Raw genomic sequence first — 24,010 nt, 5'->3', positions numbered from 1 at the left:
AGGAGCCCCTCCGCCCGGCAGCCACCCCGTCTGGGAAGTGAGGAGCGTCTCCGCCCGGCAGCCACCCCGTCCGGGAGGGAGGTGGGGGTCAGCCCCCGCCAGGCCAGCCGCCCCGTCTGGGAGGGAGGTGGTGGGGCCAGCCCCCCGCCCAGCCAGCCGCCCCGTCCGGGAGGGAAGTGGGGGGGTCAGCCCCCGCCTGGCCAGCTGCCCCGCCCGGGAGGTGAGGGGCGCCTCTGCCCAGCCGCCCCTACTGGGAAGTGAGGAGCCCCTCTGCCCGGCCACCACCCTGTCTGGGAGGTGTACCCAACAGCTCATTGAGAACGGGCCATGATGACAATGGCGGTTTTGTGGAATAGAAAGGGGGGAAAGGTGGGGAAAAGATTGAGAAATCGGATGGTTGCCGTGTCTGTGTAGAAAGAGGTAGACATGGGAGACTTTTCATTTTGCTCGGTACTAAGAAAAATTCTTATCCTGTTGATCTGTGACCTTACCCCCAACCCTGTGCTCTCTGAAACATGTGCTGTGTCCACTCAGGGTTAAATGGATTAAGGGCAGTGCAAGATGTGCTTTGTTAAACAGATGCTTGAAGGCAGCATGCTCCTTAAGAGTCATCACCACTCCCTAATCTCAAGTACCCAGGGACACAAACACTGCGGAAGGCCGCAGGATCCTCTGCCTAGGAAAACCAGAGACCTTTGTTCACTTGTTTATCTGCTGACCTTCCCTCCACTATTGTCCTATGACCCTGCCAAATCCCCCTCTGCGAGAAACACCCAAGAATGATCAATAAAAAAAATAAATAAATTAATTAAAAAAAAAAAAAAAAACTTACCTCTGCAATTAGGTCACCTTCATTGATTTTGTCCCCCTCTTTTTTTTCCCAACGGGCTATGGTGCCTGCCTGCATTGTGGGGGAAAGAGAAGGCAATGGAACCTGGAAAAGGAAAAGAAGAAACATTAAAATTTTTAAGGACTACCTAACTCTCAGTCTGGCTTAAGATTTCATTCAATTCAATTTCATGCAAAGTGTATACAGTTCCATTGCACATTGGGAACTAGGGATGCCAAGGGAGTTCCTGTCCATGAGAAGTTAGTAATTTCCAGTGACAGGCTTTCTCCTCCACAGTCCTGTGGGTCTGACAAAGCATGAACCTCGGCAGATATTCTGCATACAGCCCCAGTCTTGAAGCTCTCCTTTCAATGAAATAGATCATGAGAGGGACACTAAGGAGCTACAGCAAAGCCAACTATTGGACAAAGGGCCAAAGCAGATACTGGGAATGGGTGGAGGATCAGTGAGGCCTCTCAAGGAGGATCTTGCAGGCATCCAGTCAGCTCTGAAGGACAACGGGGTCCCGAGAAGGGGGGTCTAGGGCTCACCTTCTGATGCGGGGGAAGACTGTAATAGCGGCGGCCGGGCGACCCCAAAAGCTGCAGCAGTAAGCGGTTCCGCGGCGTGGCCCCAGAACTGGGGGTCCAGCCGCACAGTGCCCGGACCCCGCCATACCCTGTAGTCACGCTGTTGCGACGAGCGGGAGCCGGGCCAGATCGCGAGGTCACTCGTGGAGTTCCGGGTACCTCCTGCAAGGCCGTCCACCGAGCCTCGAGTCCCGCCCATGGGGCTACATTCTGAGCCCGTCGCGCACAGACGCGCCACATAGTGCCACCAACCCCCCACACCCCAAAACCAACGCCGTCTCCGGAGTGACCTCTCCAAGAGCAGCGGCGTTGCCGTCAGCCACACCGCACAGCCGCACGTTGTCGTAAAATGGTTCCCGCAGGTTTACTCCACCCGCTCCCCAGGCCAGAAATGCGCGGCACGCACGCTCTTTCTCTACGGAGCGGGGACGAGGGGCACTACGGGGCAGGAGTGTTCCAGAGGGGCCTGTGCGGGCGCAAGTTTGGGAGAAATAACAGACGGAAAGGGGTGGAAAGTGGTAGGGTTCTAGGGGAGGCATCCGAAAGGGTGAGACGGGGCCTAAGAGATGACAAGGGCACGACCGAGGGGGAGGGGCCTAAAAAGGCGCAGAGACGCGGGTTAATTGCGGCCGAGTGGCCTGAGAGTCTGGGCCGAGGGGCGTGGCCAAGCTTTCTGGAAAAGCTGGAAGTGAGCCCGGGAACTGGCTAGGGCAGTGGGAGCCTCAGGCCAAAGGGCGGGGGTCTTGGAGTGCTGGGGTGGTGAAGGAGCCAGGAATCGCCCGCGAGGGAATCGAGGGGTCCGGCGTGGTGACCTCTGCTTCTGCGCATCCGAAGGGGGATGGACTGGGCCGCGCCCCGCGCAGGCTGTACTGGTTGCAAAGATTTCGTTTCAGGTTTGTAGCCCAAGTGGAAAGTGGAGTGAACAGGTGTTCCACCCAGCCAAGTGGTAACGAAAGGCAGCCCAGAGGAAGATACATTCCCGCATTCATGTATACTGTAGCAAGATTAAGCATATTCCCTGTATGAAGATATAGGTTTACAAAACAGGTGTTGCTCCCTAATACCATAGAATTCTTTTAAGTAACCAAAAGCTTCGTTATGTTTCAAATGTTTGAAAAACTTAACTGTAAGCCGTTGAAGGCATGAAGAGTGTCTGCGTGGTCCTTCCATGTAGCCCCAGAGCTTAATATCCAGTAAATAGCGGGGGCTGAATGTATGTCTTTTGAATCAATGAATAAAAAGTCATCTACACATTTTGTTAGGCACGCTTCTCTTGTAAAGTTGTCTTTTAATTAGAAAACATATCGTTTCTGAACTGAAGGTGACATTAGATAAGGAGGAAGCATGTGCTGTGTATCACCACCTCCCCCCTGTAGAGATGGTTAGAGAACACCAAGAACGCAAGAGGAAGTTGGAGGGAAGAAACTTAAAACAAGATTTTAGCCAGGAGCGGTGGTGCATGCCTGTAGTCCCAGCAATGCTTGAGAGGCTGAGGTGGGGGAATCACTTGAGCCCAAGAGTTTGAGACCAGCCTGGGCAACATAATGAGACTCCCATCTGTTAAAAAAAAAAAAAAATGGGGGCTAATCTTGCTAACAATTAATTTGGAAAACTAAAACAGATTGGATGTACTATTTCATGCCTACTTAAATTGGAATGTTTAAGCAGGTACAGCTGTCTATCAGAATAATATGTAAGCAATATAATTGAGAAATATAAAATTTCTAGATTGAATGAAAAGGCATATTTTAAATAATATGAAGAGAGCAATTATATTGTTACAATTATGTACAACTTATGAATTAACAATTGGAAGAAGCAATGAAAGAATAATTGTAATTACTGAAAGGACTTATTACTATTATTTGGGGATGGAGTCTCACTCTGTCGCCCAGGCTGGAGTGCAGTGGCATGATCCCGGCTCACTGCAACCTCCACCTCCCAGGTTCAAGCGATTCTCCTGCCTCAGCCTCCCGAGTGCTGGGATTACAGGCACGTGCCACCATGCCCAGCTAATTTTGTGTTTTTAGTAGATACGGGGTTTCACCATGTTAGTCATGCTGGTCTCAAACTCCTGACTTCAGGTGATCCACCTGCCTCGGCCTCCCAAAGTGCTGAGATTACAGGCGCGAGCCACCATGCCCGCCCAGGACTTATAAATTATTATAAAAATGTTTTTGAGTTGGCTAAAATATCTTGCTGCTTTTGCTGCATTTGAACTTAATAACTGGATCTAAATTAGACTTTGGTATAAAGTATGAGGTGATCTTCCGGATCTGTTGTGCACTTAGGTATGCTTGCTTAAACCCTGTTTTGCATTTTTCAAAGAATAGCGAGTTTGTGTCTTGAATATACTTTTGACTTAAGTGTAGTTAAATTATAGGAATGCATAGCTCAAACAGTCCAGAGATGGCGAGCTTACCCCAGAGGTGGGCTAGGAATGCTTAGGTTTCTCAAATCAGTCCTGAGAGAACAAGCTTGAATTCCACTAAACAGACTGGATAAAGGAAATTATGGAAAAGGAGACTCAAGACTCAAAGGTTTGAAATAGAGATACTTAAGAGAATGGTGATATCACTGATATTGAGAGAAACAGAAATTAGTTGGTAGTGAAAGATTTTGAGTTATGTACATATTTAATTTTAACATAATGGGATAGCCAATTAATAGTTGAAAATACGTAATTGGAAGTCAAATGAAGGCACTCAGGGATAAAGAATTTAATATAGCAAACATTTAAGATGAATTGATAAGAGGCATTTAAGAGGCAGCTTTCAAATGATCTGGGAATTCTGGTCATTTTAAATACACATTTCTGAAAGAGTTCTTAATGCTTGCATACTGACTTTTGTCATAGAGTTTATACTCTTGGGTTCTTATTTGTTTGCATGTTTACATATAATTTCAAAATAAGTGCTAAATAAATTGTCCTTGATAATAGCCTATGTGCTTACATAGAAATACTAATTGTAAAATATCTGTAGCAATAAAGTAATTCTTATCTCCACTCCACATAGTGAGTAAACATGCTACCAGGGAGATCACTTGAGGAAATTTGCTTTCACTAAATGTAAATGGCTTTATTGATTAATCTCATCAGTAAACGCAAGTGAAAATCATTAATGATATTTAGTTTGCAAACCCCATTTTATTCATAGTTTGTGGTTTTTTAAATTAGTTCACAAATCTGGTACATACCGGCAGTTAAAACTGGTTATCACTTTGATAATCAGAAGCCTCTGGTGTAACATAGTCTTCATGAAAACATATTGTAAAACAGGGAGAATACACAGTAATAATCTCTTTGAAAGCAATGGCTGTAAACATCCATGTTTCTAAGAAAATATAACTTTACATATATATGTATTTTAAGCAAGCTATACCTCTTACATAAATTCAGACAGTAGAAGGAGTGTGCAATCATAATGCTTATTTTATGGAAACAGTGAAAATAATTTTAATTATGACCTAAATGCTTTTAAGTAATTAAAGTCCTCTTGAATTGGATGTATAGTATAAAGATATTTTCCCTAATTTGCAACCATCCTGGTCAAAAAGAGCTGAAAAGTTGGTCAGTAAGTAGAAGTGCCATTACCAAGTAAGTTTAAAACAAATTCTTCAAATTTAAAAATGTAAAAATTGTAAAGTATCCCAATCCCCCCAGCTAATTTAGGGAACTGAGCAAGAAGAGAACATTCTTCAGTTTTTAAATGACTTTTTTTTTTTTTTTTTTGGAGATGGGGTCCTGCTCTGTAGCCTAGGCTAGAGTGCAGTGGCATGATCAGCTCACTGCAACCTCAAACTCCTGGGCTCAAGCAATCTTCCCACCTCAACCTCCTGAGTAGCTGGGACTACAGGTGTGTGCCACCATCCCCAGCTACTTTTATAATAAAATTTCTATGTAGAGACGGAGTCTTCCTACGTTGCCCAGGCTGGTCTTGAACTCCTGGGCTCAAGCAGTCTTCCTGCCTCGGCCTCCCAAAGTGCTGGAATTACAGGCATGAGCCACCACACTCAGCCTTAAATGAAGATTTTGTAAGGAATTGAGCATTCAACTAAACTCGTTTTTGTGAGATGGTCATTTTGTTTTAACCTAACATGGTTTAGAGATTATTTTATGAACTCTAAGCATTCTGGTTCCTCAGTTTTCTCAAAGAAAGAGAACTTTAGCAAGTAGCAGGACAAGCTACCCCACACCAATGCCACCAGGCGACAATACTATGAATAAGTCAGGAGGCCTCCTAGAATGCAGCCAAATAGGAAACTGTTCCAAACAGAATCAGTCTTGCATACTTCTGCTCAGAAGGCTCCTCTCGCTTTGGAAACTGGAATGAGGATCACCAACAGGATCCTCATTTTACACAGGAGTTATGAGAGTTACATCCTCTAGCAGAGATGCTTGGTCATTACCTGTGGTACATGAGATTACCGAGCTAAAAGGGAAAAAAAACGATCTTAATGTTCTCCCATGAACTCAACTTAAGCTTTTTATGGAGGCACTGAGGCCATGCAGCTCCTTTTCCAAAAGACACAGATAAAAGCCAAATAAGGTAGAGGACTTTGGAAATTTTCTCTGAAAAGTTAAATTCCACATAATAGTAAGACTGTTTGCTGAGAGAAAACTGACAAGTAAAAACTGGTTTAAGAGACAGACATTCAAGACAAACTGTATTGGAAATACAATAATGAATTTTGGCCTGATAGCCCTCATGCTGTCTTATAGCAAAACACTAAAATTCATGCAACAGAGAAATTGGTGACATGAGGACTTTTTCTCCAGACTTCCTGGGGAAAAACTGTGAGAATATACTTTTTTCTTCTGTTTGCTTTCGAAATGCATTCTTTCTTTTGCTGACTTTCCCAAACTTTCCCAGTCGTTTCTGATGAAAAATTCTTCAATAGGAAAAGACCAGGTAAACTTACATGAAAGACATCAAGTATCTTTTGAGCTCCTTCTCTCTGCCAGAGGAGCAATCAACTGGATTACACAAAACTACCTTCACAACTAAAACAGGTAGAATTGGAACAGGAATTAGTTGTCATTAATATACTCGTAATAAAATAAAGCTTGTTCTGAAACCACAAGGGGTGGTAAGAAGAGACTGTATAAAAGCTACTGGGTTCTCTAGAAAATGGATACAGTATACAGAATGTGAGAAGATACAGAACTCACACTCCAGTTATAAAAATAGACATGGTTCTCAGACAAAAAGCAAATGAGTACAAAAGAATTCTCCAAACGTGAACTATTTTTAAAAGATACATCTATATAAAACAACAAGATGTCATCTCAGAGCTCCAAAGAGTAGTTTGTTGAAATGGCTGAAAAGGGGAGATGAATTGGAGACAGATAGGTCAAGAACCCAGAACAGATGTGTCCTACTCTTGTGTTTGGCAGTGTACATTGGAGGTCACAGGCAGATAGACTGCTTTTGGTAATACATATATAAATAATAATGGCTGACTGGTTGATGGTGCTTGATGGATGAATGAGAAAACCCAGGTTATCAAATAATCTCGGTAGTTGAACTGTTAGCTTCTTCACTTGACAATGTTGCACATCAGAAATGATTCTAGGTTTTTTTTACCCAGAATGATCCCTGCCATTCACAACTCATGCTCCACGCCCCATGGTTTCTATTGTGCCCTAAAAGATCAGCCTAGACTAATACATAAATAGAAAATAACTCTGGCCTTGAAATGAGGGGCAGACAAGTACTTCATGCTCAGTACTTATAAATCACAAAGAAATGCTGAAATTAATGGTCTGTCTCCTTTTACTACAAAGGAGATGCCATGAGTTAAAGTCATGAAACAAAGAAAGTCAAAAAGATATGGGTAGCAGCACCTTTCCATACCCGCCTGGATTTTCAAGGAGCTTTTCACTCCTTATGCCTTTCAAACAAAAGTTCATCAGTTTGAAGAAAAAGAAATGGCTCTAAAGTTAAAGAGTCCCCAGAGAAAACTAACAGTACATGAAATAGGCCCTATGTGGGCAAAAGGACAAGCTGCAGAACCAGTTAAGACAGAAGAGGCAGCCCAAGGTCTTACTAAATTACAGTTTTAGCATAGTGTAGCACAACATGGGCAGCCCTTTTTCCATCCAAGCAACAATTCAGCACCATCCACGTCTGGTTCAAAAGATTACTGAAGTCTGGGCTTTCATCTTTGGTACCACCTCATGAGTTATTCTTGGTTTGCAGTAGGTTCAAAGAAACAGAAAAGCTGGTACCTTTGCCTTGTCTGTGAGTACAAACGCTGGGACTCTGATTGCTGCAACCATTGAGGCCAATTAAAATAATACTGTAACACACAGGAATGATGCATCCAATTCCTAATTTCCAGATAATAGCAGCCATGCCCCTACAGAGGCGGGATCATCCATCCCCATCGTTTAAGGCCTTCGGTTTGTTGTCCTCAGAGTAGAATAGAACACTGTGTTCCCACGGACAAGGAACTCCAGATGAACCCATGGTCTACATTTGGACAGAATTTTAAGTACCAGATATGCCAGGCACAGAAAGAGGACTGACCTGTGGCCATCATGCTTGGAGAAGCTTCTGTTTTGGCACACAAACTAGAAACTTCTTAGTGTATTCTGGTTTTAGTTCCCTTTCCTGAGTGAAGCAGCCAGGGAGTGACCAGGTTCCATAAGCCCTCAATCTGATACTTGGCATTAATTCTCTCCATGGTCTTCTTCCACCCAAGCTACAATTTTCCCTTCCCATCCAGGGATGGCATCATCATCATGGAAAATCTAGAGAAAAAAACAAAAAGCCACAGTGAAAAAACAGGGAATCTGATTCACTAAACAATTGCTGCTAATAAAAATAAGACCTCAACCATGTAGAAGAAAGCCTTGAGTTAAGAGTCTATGTCCTTTTGGTCTTGTCCCTAGAACTGCAACTGATATTTTATTTTTTTCTTAGATCCACATCTATGAAATGGTTTTAAAAAATGCCTGATACTACTTTGCTCATAGAGATTTGTAAGAATTAATAAATTACCAATCACAAAGTACTTTGGGCTTCTTAGAGGAAAGATGTAGTGTTAAGTATTTTAAAAATGAGAAAGTGGAAAATTTAGTTACCAGGCAATGTAAAGAAAGGGTGGGGAAAAAAGACTCATTTTAACACATTTCTCAGATGCAGTTATTTTCATTAATTCATTCAACTCATTTCCTAAGCCACTAATAAAACAGGGTTACTAAAACATTTCACTGAGGAAATGTTTACAAAATAAAATTTTACTTTCTCTATAATAACTTTTTTCATTCTGTAACTGCAGTGAATCCACTTGTAATACTATATAACCCAGAACTGTATTCCCCCAAAAGTCTATCTTTGACAAATGGATTATAAAGAGACGCGTAGGCTAAGAAAATACTTACTCAAGGAGTTGGGCATAAGCATACATAACTCCCTAGAAGTTCCTTGATTTCATTATGAGAAATACACAGTTCCATATATCCATGCGTGTTTATTTTGCTCTACATAGGAAGCAAGAAGTTTTCTAAGATTTGGCTGCAGATGGAAAATTATTTATTGTCTTAGGTTCTTTATTTTCCCTAACAAAATAATTTAAAATAAAAATTATATCCAAGTTCTCAGTCAAATGATGAAGTCCTACAACTAAAGAACCTATCAGCATCTTGGACTATTCTATGACCACTTGTCTAGAGTAATCAGACCATGGTCTGAGGCTCTGGCAAATTCTTCTGACCTAGTCAGGGAACTCATGTACTTCTGGACACTAGTGCTTGAACAGGAGGCTTCAGGGTTCAGAAAGGACCAATAATACCATACAGACTCCCCACAGATTCTTTACCTCCTCTTTGACAGTGCCAAACTCAGGATCCAGTGCTTTGAAGTGATACCGGTGATTTCCTTCCCGATCAATAGCTGCTTTAAAATCCTTTAACGTCACCTCCTCCAACCTGCAACACAAGGAGAGAGCACTAAAATAGACTGTTGATCAATAGCTGGAAAGATAAGATGTTAACTTTAAACACAGCCCCCTGCCAAAGTCAATAAGCAGAAATAGCCCCTTGTTAGGTCACTGCCCCGATAACCCAGATGACTAAAACAGCAGAGGCTGGAGAACCAGTCATCACTAGGGAATGAAAACAGTATTAAATATGGGGTGATGTGAGAATTTAAAATTGACTTATTGCTTCAGAAGCCAAATCACTTTTCTCTGGAAATAAGATATAAAGTCCCTGAAATAAAATTTGTTGAATAACCATAAATATATCAAAGTTCTCTTGATTTTCTTCTTTGCTACAATATCCCAATTCTCTAGGATGGTAGAATCAAATCAAGTATCATGATCTTTATCCCTCTATCTTTAGGAAGCTGGCTTCTAACCCAGACTAAATAAGCAGACTAAGTAAGAAAAATCCTATAACCTCTCTCAATAGTTGGTTGCAGAGTTTAAATATTTCTATTTCAAAACCATTTCCCTTAAAAGGAAGCACATTAACTTTCTGGAAGGTTTTTGACATAATTTCTCAATAGGGATTAGCTGCAGTCATTGAATAGTAACAAAGATCAATTAGTCATAGTCCTGGAGTGAGTGCCAGGCTGCAATCCATTGTATCAGCAGGAGCTATTTTGAACACTTAAAAAAAAAAAAAAAGATTTTCCCAAATGCAGAGCCATATTTGCATAGTTATCAGGATTGGAAGTACTATTATTGTACCTGTATCTAGTAGTAGATCATGACTTGTCCTTTATAATACCACTGAATAGTGGCAAAGCTGAAACTAGAATCTGTCTCTCTGGCTTATCTCACTATAGTGAGATCTCACTATACTGCTTCTCAAACACCTTTCAGCTGCTCATGTGGGCAGTAACTAATGAGGTTCTGCCTTCCTTTCCTTCTTTACAGTGAAATACAATGATCCCAGAATCTCACCTCTTTGGTATATTGACCATGAAGGGCGTAAGTGACCGGTCAGTGAAATAGAGCACTTTAGTACAGGTGCTGCTGACAGTTGGAGAGCTCTGTGAGTGAGGCAACTCTACAATCAGAAAGAGACTGTGGTTAGAACATTCATTTGCTCTAAACCAGCCATCTGCAGTTATTCAAAGTGTCCCGGGAGAACAAAGCTGCCTGAGGTCACAGCCCACAGCTCTCACACCCTTGCCAAACACAATGTCCATATGCTATGGTTGCCTAGGACCACGAGGACAAGACTTGCTTCAGACATGGACACGATCGCGAGGACTCATCACTCCTCACTCATAGTAGGGGAACAGCAACTGATATGACAGGTATCATTGTTAAAGATCAAAAAAGGACAGAGAAGCATGGGAAGATTTCAGCCAGGCAGGGTAGACACACAGCAGAAGCTGTAGACTCTGCCAATATTTAGGTTTTGGAGGTCCGTAGTAGAGAATACTCATGTGACTCATAGAAAGAAAAACCGATAGGAACAAGAACCACAGAAGCAAAGCAACCTTAGAAACTCAGATCCCAAGGGGCTTATGCTCCCAGTCTAAAAGGTACAGAACCTTAGCAACTTAAGATCTATAGTGTTGATGCCATGGTCTTTAACACAGGTTTGTTGATAAACTTTTTTTTTTTTTTAAGACAGGGTCTCGCCGGGCGCGGTGGCTCACGCCTGTATTTCCCAACACTTTGGGAGGCCGAGGGGGGTGGATCACGAGGTCAGGAGTTCAAGAACAGCCTGGCCAACATGGTGAAACCCCATCTCTACTAAAAATACAAAAATTAGCTGGGCGTGGTGGCACATGCCTGTAATCCCAGTTACTTGGGGAGGCTGAGGCAAAGAACTGCTTGAACCCGGGAGGTGGAGGTTGCAGTGAGCCGAGATCGTGACACTGCACTCCAGCCTGGGTGACAGAGTGAGACTCTGTCCCTGCCGCAAAAAAAAAAAAAAAAAAAAAAAGACAGGGTCTCGCTCTGTCGCCCAGGCTGGAGTGCAGTGGTGCAATCTCAGCTCACTGCAACCTCCACCTCCCAGGTTTAAGTCATTCTCGTGCCTCAGCCTCCCGAGTAGCTGGGATAACAGGTGTGTGCCACCACGCCCAGCTAATTTTTGTATTTTTAGTAGAGACAAGGTTTTGCCATGTTGGCCAGGCTGGTCTTGAACTCCCTGCCTCAAGTAATCCACCCACCTTGGCCTCTCAAACTGTTGGGATTACAGGCATGGGCCACTGCACCTGGACTGTCTCTACCTTTTAAAAAGGTACTTTTGGAAAAGTATAAGTCCTTGTAATTATGACTTTCGTAGGAGAAATGACCAATCAGAACCTTTTATCAAAAATTAATAATTAAACTGTTACTAAAATATCTCCTGCTATTCCACCTGTACTGATCTTCCTCTTAACTTATTCTAGGCATTCATATTGGCAGCCACAGAACAGTAGTTCTGGGAGGGGGTTTAAAATAAGGAATATGAAGGATGAATTAATAGAGGGGAAAAAGACAAAGGAACGTCCCCTCTTTGAACACAAATGGCATTCAGTCTGTTTTCAGAGTTTTTCTTCAAAGAATGCTAATTGGCCAGGCGCGGTGGCTCATGCCTGTAATCCTAGCACTTTGGGAGGCCGAGGTGGGCGGATTGCCTGAGCTCAGGAGTTTGAGACCAGCCTGGGCAACATGGTGAAACCCCGTCTCTACTAAAATACAGAAAATTAGCCAGGCGTGGTGGCATGTGCCTGTAGTCCCAGCTACCTGGGAGGCTGAGGCAGGAGAATCGCTTGAACCTGGGAGGCAGAGGTTGCAGTGAGCCGAGATCGAGCCACTGCACTCCAGCCTTGGTGACAAAGTGAAACTCTGTCTCCAAAAAAAAAAAAAGAATGCCAATTATTGTAACCTACATGCCATAATTCTCCTTTGCCCCAGCATCTAGCACAGTGCCCAGCACACAGTGGTTGTTGAATAAATAAAATACTCACTTTTAACATTAAAGCTATATATTTAATTTATTCATTCATTCAACAAACATTTATTACCTACTGTGTGTTCGATTTGAGAATATAAAAATAAACTATATGTGGTCTCCAACCTCCCAAGAGTTTATCATTTAGTATGGATGATGGATACAATTACAAATAATTACAATACACTAAAATCAGATTTCTACAAGCTGTATTGGAAGACTGAAGATGGCGAGGTTAATTCCACCTGGAACAGGTCAGGAAGGGCCCATGGTTGGAGAGTCCTTTTTAAAAGCACCTTTTAAAAATCACGAGATACTAAAGTTGAAAAGAGTATTCCAAGAAGAGGGAAGGACAGGTGCAGAAGCATGAAATGGGATCATATATTTACAAAACTGTAGGTGAATTAGTAAGGCTGGAGCATAATGAATACATTGGGAAGTTGTGAGGTAATTAAGTAGGCAGCAGCCAGATCACAAAAGACTCTGACAGGGTAAGAGTTCAAGATGTTAGTCTTAAGCTATGGAAAGTTACTAAAAGGTAGTGATATGATTAGACTGGCATTTTAGAAAAGTTGATCTCGCAGCAAAGTATGGATTGGATGGGACAAACTGGAAGCCAGAAATCCTGTGCAGTAGTTTGGGTGTTTGTCCCCCAACACCTCATGTTGAAAGTTGATCCCCAATGTTGGAGGTGGGGCCTAATGGGAAGTGTTTGGGTCATGGAGGCAGATTCCTCAAGACTAGATTAATGCCCTCCTTGGGGAGGAGGAGTGAGTACTCACCCATTAGTTCCCACAAAACTGCTTGTTAAAAAGAGCCTGGCACCTCCCTCCACTCTCTTGCTTCCTCTCTCCATGTAATCTCAGCACATGCCAACTCCCATTTGCCTTCTGCCGTGAGTGAAAGCCGATTGAGGCTTTCACCAGATGCCCAACTTTCCAGCCAGCCGAATTGTGAGCCAAACAAACCTCTTTTCCTCCTAAGTTACCTAGCCTCAGGTATTCCTTTATGGCAACACTCAACTGACTAAGACATCCTGTTAAGAGGCAATAAAAACAATCTGACACATGATGATAGGAAAGATGTAGCCCTGGAGCCAGAGAAGGGATGAATTTGAAAGACCTTTAGAAAGTCAAAGTCTTAGTACTAGGGATATAGTTGAACATAGGGTATATAAAAGGGAAAAGTAAACAATGACTGAGATTTACAACCTGGGAAGACAGATACATGGTAATACCATTACCTAAGACAGGGGAACACAAGATGAATTACGTCATCTCATTATTCATTTTAAATGTTTATAGGGTGCCTTATTATGTATCAAGTATTAGAGATACACAAATAAATTAGATATAATCCCCACCCTTAAGGAGCTCAAAAGTCTAGTGGAGTGAAATAGCAAAACAGTTACCATACAATAAAATAAATATGAAAATAATATTGCTATGGACTGAATTTGTTCCCCCCCCCCACCCCACCCCCACCCCCCGACCCGTCAACTTCATATGTTGAAGCCCTTATCTGCTATTTGACTGTTTTGGAGATAGGGCCTTTAAGGAGGTAATTAAGATTAAATGAGGTCATACGGGTGGAGCCCTGATCCAACAGAACTAGTCCTTATAAGAGATACCAGAGCTTTCTCTCCCCCATGTGAGGACACAGAGACAACGTGCCTTCTACAAGCCAGGCAAGGAGCCCTCACCAAAACCTGGCCATGCTGGCAACCTGATCTTGTACTTCTAGCCTCCAGAACTGTGAGAAAATTAATTTACGTCGTTTAAGAGAGTTGAAGGTATTTTGCAATGGCAGCCCAAGCTGACTAATACAAATGTTATGTACACATTTGGGGAGAATGTCAAAGAGAGAGTAATCATGATGTCAAATGCTACACAGGGGTCTAATAGGCAAAGACTGCTTTGGTAAAAATATCATTGATGATACTAGTGAAAAGTCGATTCAGATGACTAATGAAGAATGAGTTGGATTGCATAGACTTTTCAAGTAAAAAAGCAAAATAAGAGTAATGAGGGAGAACTTGTCTCACCCAACATAAAGCCGTATGACAAAATGATAGTTATTACAGTATTATGGCATTACTATAAAAAACACGTACAAAAAAACTCATGCAGGATAAGTGGCTCAGAAACATATCCTTGTGTATATCTACAAATTTAATACATGATTTTGAAAAGTACCACAAAACAGGTGATTAATAGTTATAGCTTATAAGTTTAGGCTTATCCATTTGGAGTTGATTTTTGCATATGGTATGAAGTATAGGTCAAACTCACTTAAAAAAATAGATCTTTAACTTTTCTAGCACCGTTTTTGAAAAGCCTATCCCTTTATCATTCAATTGTCTTTGCACTATTGTAGAAAATCAACTGGTAAAATGTGTCTATTTTTAACTCTATGCTGTTCCACTCATCTATGTATCTACCAATTCACCAATACTACACTGTCTTGATTACCCTAACTTTACAGTTAATTTTGATATCAGACAGTATGGTCCACCAACTGCACTGTTCATCTTTTTCACCATTTGGGTTGGGAGGGCAGTTAATTCTAGTCCCCTTATTCTTTCCTATAAATTTTAGAATTGGCTTGTTTATATCTACAAAAGCCTGGTAGGATTTTCACTGGAACTGCATTGAAGCTATAGATCATTTGTGGAAGAATAGGCCATCTTAACAATGTTGAGTACTCCAATCCATAAACAGTATATCTCTCCGTTTATTTAAATCTTTATTTCATCCTTATTTTATACTTGTCAGTATAGTCATTGCACATATTTTATGAAGTTTATACCTAAGATTTTCATGAGGGTTTTTCTTTTCCTTTTTCCTTTTTTACTATACTTTAAGTTCTAGGGTGCATGTGCACAACGTGCAGGTTTGTTACATAGGTATACATGTGCCATGTGGGTTTGCTGCACCCATCAACTTGTCATTTACATTAGGTATTTCTCCTAATGCTATCCCTCCCCCCGTCCCCCCCTCCACGACAGGCTCCAGTGTGTGATGTTCCCCGCCCTGTGTCCATGTGTTCTCATTGTTCAATTCCCACCTATGAGTGAGGACATGCGGTGTTTGGTTTTTGGTCCTTGTGATAGTTTGCTGAGAATGATGAACTCCAGTTTCATCCATGTCCCTGCAAAGGACATGAACTCATCCTTTTTTATGGCTGCATAGTATTCCATGGTGTATATGTGCCACATTTTCTTAATCCAGTCTATCATTGATGGACATTTGGGTTGGTTCCAAGTCTTTGCAATTGTGAATAGTGCTGCAATAAACATGCGTGTGCATGTGTCTTTATAGTAGCATGATTTATAATCCTTTGGGTATATATCCAGTAATAGGATCTCTGGGTCAAATGGTATTTCTAGTCTAGATCCTTGAGGAATCGCCACACTGTCTTCCACAATGGTTGAACTAATTTACACTTCCATCAACAGTGTAAAAGCATTCCTATTTCTCCACATCCTCTCCAGCATCTGTGGTTTCCTGACTTTTTAATGATCGCCACTCTAACTGGTGTGAGATGGTATCTCATTGTGGTTCTGATTTGCATTTCTCTGATGACCAGTGATGATGAGCATTTTTTCATGTGTCTGTTGGCTGCAGAAATGTCTTCTTTTGAGAAGTGTCTATTCATATCCTTTGCCCACTTTTTGATGGGGTTGTTTGATTTTTTTCTTGTAAATTTGTTTAAGTTCTTTGTAGACTCTAGATATTAGCCCTTTGTCAGATGGGCAGATTGCAAAAATTTTCTCCCATTCTGTAGGTTGCCTGTTCACTCTGATGATAGTTTCTTTTGCTGTGCAGAAGCTCTTTAGTTTAATTAGATCCCACTTGTCTATTTTGGCTTTTGTTGTCATTGCTTTTGGTGTTTTAGTCATGAAGTCCTTGTCCATGCCTATGTCCTGAATGGTATTGCCTCGGTTTTCTTCTAGGGTTTTTATGGTTTTAGGTCTAACGTTTAAGTCTTTAATCCATCTTGAATTAATTTTTGTATAAGGTGTAAGGAAGGGATCCAGTTTCAACTTTCTACATATGGCTAGCCAGTTTTCCCAGCACCATTTATTAAACAGGGAATCCTTTCCCCATTTCTTGTTTTTGTCAGGTTTGTCAAAGATCAGATGGTTGTAAATGTGTGGTGTTATTTCTGAGGCCTCTGTTCTGATTCATTGGTCTATATATCTGTTTTAGTACCAGTACCATGCTGTTTTGGTTACTGTAGCCTTGTAGGATAGTTTGAAGTCAGGTAGCATGATGCCTCCAGTTTTGTTCCTTTGCTTAGGATTGCCTTGGCAATGTGGGCTCTTTTTTGGTTCCATATGAACTTTAAAGTAGTTTTTTCCAATTCTGTGAAGAAGACATTGGTAGCTTGATGGGAATGGCATTGAATCTATAAATTACCTTGGGCAGTGTGGCCATTTTCATGATATTTATTCTTCCTATCCATGAGCATGGAATGTTCTTCCATTTGTTTGTGTCCTCTTTTATTTCCCTGGGCAGTGGTTTGTAGTTCTCCATGAAGAGGTCCTTCACATCCCTTGTAAGTTGGATTCCTAGGTATTTTATTCTCTTCGTAGCAATTGTGATTGGGAGTTCACTCATGATTTGGCTGTTTGTCTGTTATTGGTGTACAGGAATGCTTGTGATTTTTGCACATTGACTTTGTATCCTGAGACTTTGCTGAAGTTGCTTATCAGCTTGAGATTTTGGGCTGAGATGATGGGGTTTTCTAAATATATAGTCATGTCATCTGCAAACATAGACAATTTTACTTCCTCTTTTCCAAATTGAATACCCTTTATTTCTTTCTCTTGCCTGATTGCCCTGGCCAGAACTTCCAACACTATGTTGAATAGGAGTGGTGAGAGAGGGCATCCCTGTCTTGTGCCAGTTTTCAAAAGAAATGCTTCCAGTTTTTGCCCATTCAATATGATATTGGCTGTGGGTTTGTTGTAAATAGCTCTTATTATTTTGAGATACGTTCCATCAATACCCAGTTTATTGAGAGATTTTAGCATGAAGGGCTGTTGAATTTTGTTGAAGGCCTTTTCTGCATCTATTGAGATAATCATGTGGTTTTTCTCTTTGGTTCTGTTTATGTGATGGATTACATTTATTGATTTGAGTATGTTGAACCAGCCTTGCATCCCAGGGATGAAGCTGACTTGATTGTGGTGGATAAGCTTTTTGATGTGCTGCTGGATTCGGTTTGCCAGTATTTTATTGAAGATTTTCGCATTGATGTTCATCAGGGATATTGGTCTAAAATTCTCTTTTTTTTGTTATGTCTCTGCCAGGTTTTGGTATCAGGATGATGTTGGCCTCATAAAATGAGTTAGGGAGGAGTCCCTCCTTTTCTGTTGATTGGAATAGTTTCAGAAGGAATGGTACTAGCTCCTCTTTTCTACCTGTGGTAGAATTTGGCTGTAAATCCATCTGGTCCTGGACTTTTTTTGGTTGGTAGGCTATTAATTATTGCCTCAATTTCAGAACCTGTTATTGGTCTATTCAGAGATTCAACTTCTTCCTGGTTTAGTCTTGGGAGGGTGTATGTGTCCAGGAATTTATCCATTTCTTCTAGATTTTCTAGTTTATTTGCGTAGAGGTGTTTATAGTATTCTCTGATGGTAGTTTGTATTTCTGTGGGATCGGTGGTAATATCCCCTTTATCATTTTTTATTGTGTCAATTTGATGCCTCTCTCTTTTCTTCTTTATTAGTCTTGCTAGCGGTCTATCAGTTTTGTTGATCCCTTCAAAAAACCAGCTCCTGGATTCATTGATTTTTTTAAAGGTTTCTTGTGTCTCTATCTCCTTCAGTTCTGCTCCAATCTTAGTTATTTCTTGCCTTTTGCTAGCGTTTGAATTTCTTTGCTCTTGATTCTCGATTTCTTTTAATTGTGATGTTAAGGTGTCGATTTTAGATCTTTCCTGCTTTCTCCTGTGGGCATTTAGTGCTAAAAATTTCCCTCTACACACTGCTTTAAATGTGTCTCAGGTATTCTGGTACGTTGTGTCTTTGTTCTCATTGGTTTCAAAGAACATCTTTATTTCTCCCTTCATTTCGTTATTTAGCCAGTAGTCATTCAGGAGCAGGTTGTTCAGTTTCCATGTAGTTGTGCAGTTTTGAGTGAGTTTCTTAATCCTGAGTTCTAATTTGATTGTGCTGTGGTCTGAGAGACAGTTTGTTGTGATTTCTGTTTTTTACATTTGCTGAAGAGTGCTTTACTTCCAACTGTATGATCAATTTTAGAATAAGTGTGATGTGGTGCTAAGAAGAATGTATATTCTGTTGATTTGGGGTGGAGAGTTCTGTAGATGTCTATTAGGTCTGCTTGGTGCAGAGCTGAGTTCAAGTCATGGATATCCTTGTTAATCTGTCTCGTTGATCTAATATTGACAGTGGGGTGTAAAAGTCTCCCATTATTATTGTGTGGGAGTCTAAGTCTCTTTGTAGGTCTCTAAGGACTTGGTTTATGAATCTTGGTGCTCCTGTATTGGGTGCATATAAATTTAGGATAGTTAGCTCTTCTTGTTGAATTGATCCCTTTACCATTATGTAATGGCCTTGTCTCTTTTGATCTTTGTTGGTTTAAAGTCTGTTTTATCAGAGAGTAGGATTTCAATCCCTGCTTTTCTTTTTTTTTTTTTTTTGCTTTGCATTTGCTTGGTAGATCTTGCTCCATCCCTTTATTTGAGCCTATGTGTGTCTCTGCACGTGATATGGGTCTCCTGAGTACAGCACACCGATGGGTTTGACTCTATCCAATTTGCCAGTCTGTCACTTTTCATTGGGGCATTTAGCCCATTTACATTTAAGGTTAATATTGTTATGTGTGAATTTGATCCTGTCATTATGATGTTAGCTGCTTATTTTGCCCATTAATTGATGCAAGTTTCATCATAGCATCGATGGTCTTGACAATTTGGCATGTTTTTGCAGTGGCTGGTACCGGTTGTTCCTTTCCATGTTTAGTGCTTCCTTCAGGAGCTCTTGTAAGGCAGTCCTGGTGGTGACAGAATCTCTTAGCATTTGCTTGTCTGTTAAGGATTTTATTTCTCCTTCACTTATGAAGCTTAGTTTGGCTGGATATGAAATTTTGCGTTGAAAACTCTTTTCTTTAAGAATGTTGAATATTGGCCCCCACTCTCTTCTGGCTTGTAGAGTTTCTGTCGAGAGATCCGCTGTTAGTCTGATGGGTTTCCCTTTGTGGGTAACCTGACCTTTCTCTCTGGCTGCCCTTAACATTTTTTCCTTCATTTCCACCTTGGTGAATCTGATAATTATGTGTCTTGGGGTTGCTCTTCTTGAGGAGTATCTTTGTGGTGTTCTCTGTATTTCCTAGATTTGGATGTTGGCCTGCCTTGCTAGATTGGGTAAGTATTCCTGGATAATATCCTGAACAGTGTTTTCCAACTTGGTTCCATTCTCCCTGTCACTTTCAGGTACACCAATCAAACGTAGATTTGGTCTTTTCACATAGTCCCATGTTTCTTGGAGGCTTTGTTCGTTGCTTTTTACTCTTTTCTCTCTAAACTTCTCTTCTCACTTTATTTCATTAATTTGATCTTCAATCACTGATACCCTTTCTTCCACTTGATCGCATTGGCTATTGAAGCTTGTGCGTGCATCACAAAGTTCTCATGCCATGGTTTTCAGCTCCATCAGGTCATTTAAGGTCTTCTCTACACTGTTTATTCTAGTTAGCCATTCATCTAATCTTTTTTCAAGGTTTCTAGCTTCCTTGCAATGGGTTCAAACATCCTCCTCTAGCTCGGAGAAGTTTATTACCGACCTTCTGAAGCCGACTTCTGTCAACTCATCAAAGTCATTCTCCGTCCAACTTTGTTCCCTTGCTGGTGAGGAGCTGCGATCCTTTGGAGGAGAAGAGGTACTCTCGTTTTTAGAATCTTCAGCTTTTCTGCTCTGGTTTCTCCCCATCTTTGTGGTTTTATCTACCTTTGGTCTTTGATGTTGGTGACCTAGAGATGAGGTTTTGGTGTGGATGTCCTTTTTGTGGATGCTGATGCTATTCCTTTCTGTTCGTTAGTTTTCCTTCTAACAGTCAGGTCCCTCAGCTGCAGGTCTGTTGGAGTTTGCTGGAGGTCCACTCCAGACCCTGTTTGCCTGGGTATCACCAGTGGAGGCTGCAGAACAGCAAATATTGCAGAACAGCAAATATTGCCTGATCCTTCCTCTGTAAGCTTTGTCCCAGAGGGGCACTTGCCTGTATGAGATGTAAGTCATCCCCTACTGGGAGGTGTCTCCCAGTTAGGCTACACAGGGGTCAGGGACCCACTTGAGGAGGCAGTCTGTCCGTTCTCAGAGCTCAAACGCCATGCTGGTAGAACCACTGCTCTCTTCAGAGCTGTCAGACAGGGACGTTTAAGTATGCAGAAGTTTCTGCTGCCTTTTGTTCAGCTATGCCCTGCTCCCAGAGGTGGGGGCTACAGAATCAGCAGGCCTAGCTGAGCTGTGGTGGGCTCCGCCCAGTTTGAGCTTCCAGGCAGCTTTGTTTACCTACTCAAGCCTCAGCAATGGCAGGTGCCCCTCCCCCTGCCAGGCTGTTGCCTCGCAGTTCAATCTCTGACTGCTGCACTAGCTGTGAGCAAGGCTCTGTGGGTGTGGGAACCACCGAGCCAGGCACTGGATAGTAGCTCCTGGTCTGCATTTGCTAAGACTGTTGAAAACGCGCAGTATTTGGGGGAGGAGTGTTCCGTTTTTTCCAGGTACAGTCTGTCAGGGCTTCCTTTGTCTAGGAAAGGGAAATCTCCCAACGCCTTGCGCTTCCTGGGTGAGGCGACGCCCTGCCCTGCTTTGGTTCACCCTCCGTGGGCTACACCCACTGTCCTCCTGACCTCAAGTAATCTGCCCGCCTTGGCCTCCCAAAGTGCTGGGATTATAGTCATAAGCCACCACACCCGGCCCAGGTTTTCTATATTCTTATTGATGTTCTGTACACTACTTCTACTGATTACTGCAAAGAAGAAATATTAAAGCCTCCAATTGTAACTAGATTTATCTATTTCTCCTTTCAGTTTTTGTTTCATGTATTTTTTGAGGGGGGGACGGGAGAGGACAGTGTCTCACTCTGTCTGTCACCCAGCTGCCCAGACTGGAGTGCAGTGGTGTGATCACAGCTCACTGCAGCCTCCAACTCCCAGACTCAAGTGATCCTCCTGCCTCAGCCTCCCAAGTAGCTAGGACTTCAGGCATATGCCACCACACCTGGCTAATTTTTTTTATTTTTTTGTTGAGTCAGGGTCTCACCATGTTGCCCAGGCTTGTCTCAAACTTCTGGGCACAAGTGATCCTCCTGTCTCAGCCTCCCAAAATGCTGGGATTACAGGCATGAGCCACAGTGCCTGGGCTGCTTCAGGTATTTCAAAGCTGTTATTGGGTATACACACATTTAGGATTATTATGTCTTCTCGGTGAATTGACCTTTTTATTATTATGTATCATCTTTATACCTGGAATGATTCCTTGTTCTCAAGTATACTTTATCAGATACTAATATAACCACACTTCCTTTTGATTAGTGTTTCCATGGTATATCTTTATCCATCTTTTTACTTTTAAATCCATTTATATCATTATATTTATAGTGGGTTTCCTATAAACAGTAGTTGAGTCTTCCTCACCTGTATGTGCATGTTATCAACATTTTCACTACAGCCTTTAACATATGAATCAGTTACTTTAAATTCCTTGTCTGATGGTTTCGACATCCTTGTCATATATGAGTTTGATTCTGTTGACTGCTTTCGCTCTTCACAGTGGCTTCGTTTTTCTCTTGCTCTTGTGGATGCCTCATAATTTCTTATTGAATGCCAGACATATGTTAAGACAGGAGAGACAGAGGTAAAAGTATCTGTTTAGAAATGGGCACACTGTTTGTTCTTCCAGGCCATCGGTAGGGACAGTTGAGTTAATTTGGTCAGAAGCTGAGCTGGGATTGAGATTTTTGTTAAGGTTACCTTCAGTGCACCACCATTTTCCAAGTCTTCTAGAGTTAGGTTTAGGGACAGCTGCTTGTTGGAGGGTCGTTCCTCAATGTTCCTTCCCCTCCCTCAGCTGTAGGCTTTCCTCATATGCCTGTGCCTCAGTCAGTCTCTGTATGCTGTTTCCTGCCTCAGAAGCAGTCCACTGCTCCTAATTGAACAGTGCTTGCTCCCCTGGTGGTGGGGGATGAGCAGTGCTTCTCTGTTGTCCTGACGCAGCCCCAGTTTTTAAGTGGGGTTTTCTCAGTGATCCTGTCCCTCCCCCAGTGGTAGGCGACCTCTTACAATCTGAGTCCAAGATAGTTTCCTGCCCCTCTGCCAAGGTAGTGTTCCTTTTCCTTTCCATCCCCACTAGCTGTAATGGGTCTTCACCTTTGCCTAGAGCAGGGACGGAGGGGTCAACAGGATTTACTTCGCTTCCACAGTGGCTTAAGGCTTTGCTCCGTAAGCGAGAATGGTCTGGATGTGGCTTCATGCCTTTCCTGCAGTGGCAGCTGCTCCCTTGCTCCATGAAGGAGGGAGGGAGGGTTTCTTTAGACTCTATCCCCACAGCCAACCTTTTTTTAACCAAAAGCATATTTTATTAATTTTTAAATTGATACATATCAGTTCTACGTATTTTTAGGTTACATGTGATATATATATATACACACACATATATATATACACATATACACACACATATATATACACATATACACACACATATATATACACATATATATACATACATATATATATATATATATATATAATTTTTTTTTTTTTAAGATGGGGTTTTTTTATGTTGCCCAGGCTGGTCTCAAATCCCTGGACACAAGTAATACTCCCACATCAGCCTCCCAAGTAGTTGAGATTACAGGCATAAGCCCACCATGCCTGGCTCGTGTTATTTTGATACGTGCATACAATGTGTAATGATCAAGTCAGAGTAACTGGGATATCCATCACCTCAAACATTTATCTTTTCTCCTTTTTTTTTGAGACAGAGCTTCACTCTTGTTTCCCAGGCTGGAGTGCAATGGCATGATCTCGGCTCACCGCAACCTCCACCTCCCGGGTTCAAGCGATTCTCCTGCCTCAGCCTCCCGAGTAGCTGGATTACAGGCATGCACCACCACGCCTGGCTAATTTTTGTACTTTTAGTAGAGACAGGGTTTCTCCATGTTGGTCAGGCTGGTCTTGAACCCCTAACCTCAGGTGATCCACCTGCCTTGGCCTCCCAACATGCTGGGATTTCAGACGTGAGCCACTGCGCCTGTCCTACATTTATCTTTTCTTTACGTTAAAACATCCCAATTCTTCTAGCTATTTTATTTTTTTGTTTTTCCTTTTTGAGACAGTCTCACTCTGTCTCCCAGGCTGGAGTGCAGTGGTGCGATCTCAGCTCACTGCAACCTCTGCCTCCTGGGTTCAAGCTATTCTTGTGCCTCAAGTGGCTGGGATTACAGGTACTTGCCACCCGCCCGCTAATTTTTGTATTTTTAGTAGAGACAAGGTTTTGCCCACCTCAGCCTCCCAAAGTGCTGGGATTACAGGCATGAGCCACCACGCCCAGCCTAGCTATTTCAAACTATACAATAAATTCTACTATAGTCACCCTACTTCTTATCAAACACTAGATCTTACTCCTTCTATCTAACTGTATTTTTGTATCCA

At 42.0% G+C, this 24,010-nt stretch overlaps 2 protein-coding genes across 21 annotated transcripts in view, besides 5 other annotated features; both read right to left on the bottom strand.

Moving 5' to 3' along the window:
- The window catches only part of DLAT (dihydrolipoamide S-acetyltransferase), a 38,997-nt gene extending 37,273 nt beyond the window's left edge, over window positions 1–1,724 (bottom strand). For 10 of the 14 annotated variants that reach the window (NR_164072.1, NM_001372042.1, NM_001372031.1 and 7 more), the window contains exons 1-2: window positions 1,381–1,724; window positions 833–934 (exon numbers count right to left, since the gene is read on the bottom strand). Coding sequence is in view for 12 of the 14 variants with exons in the window: in NM_001372031.1 (NP_001358960.1) it covers window positions 833–934; window positions 1,381–1,659 (381 nt within the window). In the remaining 2 variants the exon portion in view is untranslated. The remainder of the gene's footprint in view (window positions 1–832; window positions 935–1,380) is intronic. The other 4 variants (NM_001372040.1, NM_001372034.1, NM_001372036.1 and 1 more) reach the window with 4 other exon arrangements.
- Window positions 1,723–1,922: an enhancer, noted in NCBI's record as "active region_5528". NCBI's record gives its function as "activates an Ori minimal core promoter by ATAC-STARR-seq in GM12878 lymphoblastoid cells {active_cell/tissue: GM12878}" and the evidence as "EXISTENCE:reporter gene assay evidence [ECO:0000049][PMID:35858748]".
- Window positions 2,573–2,762: an enhancer, noted in NCBI's record as "active region_5527". NCBI's record gives its function as "activates an Ori minimal core promoter by ATAC-STARR-seq in GM12878 lymphoblastoid cells {active_cell/tissue: GM12878}" and the evidence as "EXISTENCE:reporter gene assay evidence [ECO:0000049][PMID:35858748]".
- Window positions 4,479–24,010, bottom strand: part of DIXDC1 (DIX domain containing 1) — a 95,339-nt gene continuing 75,807 nt past the window's right edge. For all 7 annotated transcript variants that reach the window (XM_017018466.3, XM_024448743.2, XM_017018467.2 and 4 more), the window contains 3 exons: window positions 10,336–10,441; window positions 9,247–9,355; window positions 4,479–8,176 (listed from right to left, as the gene is read on the bottom strand). In XM_017018466.3, the coding sequence (XP_016873955.1) occupies window positions 8,096–8,176; window positions 9,247–9,355; window positions 10,336–10,441 (296 nt within the window). In that variant the 3' untranslated portion in view covers window positions 4,479–8,095. The remainder of the gene's footprint in view (window positions 8,177–9,246; window positions 9,356–10,335; window positions 10,442–24,010) is intronic.
- Window positions 10,165–10,214: an enhancer, noted in NCBI's record as "active region_5526". NCBI's record gives its function as "activates an Ori minimal core promoter by ATAC-STARR-seq in GM12878 lymphoblastoid cells {active_cell/tissue: GM12878}" and the evidence as "EXISTENCE:reporter gene assay evidence [ECO:0000049][PMID:35858748]".
- Window positions 10,235–10,284: an enhancer, noted in NCBI's record as "active region_5525". NCBI's record gives its function as "activates an Ori minimal core promoter by ATAC-STARR-seq in GM12878 lymphoblastoid cells {active_cell/tissue: GM12878}" and the evidence as "EXISTENCE:reporter gene assay evidence [ECO:0000049][PMID:35858748]".
- Window positions 10,735–10,924: an enhancer, noted in NCBI's record as "active region_5524". NCBI's record gives its function as "activates an Ori minimal core promoter by ATAC-STARR-seq in GM12878 lymphoblastoid cells {active_cell/tissue: GM12878}" and the evidence as "EXISTENCE:reporter gene assay evidence [ECO:0000049][PMID:35858748]".

The sequence above is a fragment of the Homo sapiens genome, chromosome 11 (assembly GCF_000001405.40).
Source record: "Homo sapiens chromosome 11, GRCh38.p14 Primary Assembly".
Lineage (NCBI taxonomy): Eukaryota > Metazoa > Chordata > Mammalia > Primates > Hominidae > Homo > Homo sapiens.
Note: the sequence above shows the minus strand (reverse complement) of the source record. Positions and strands in the feature narration are given on the sequence as shown.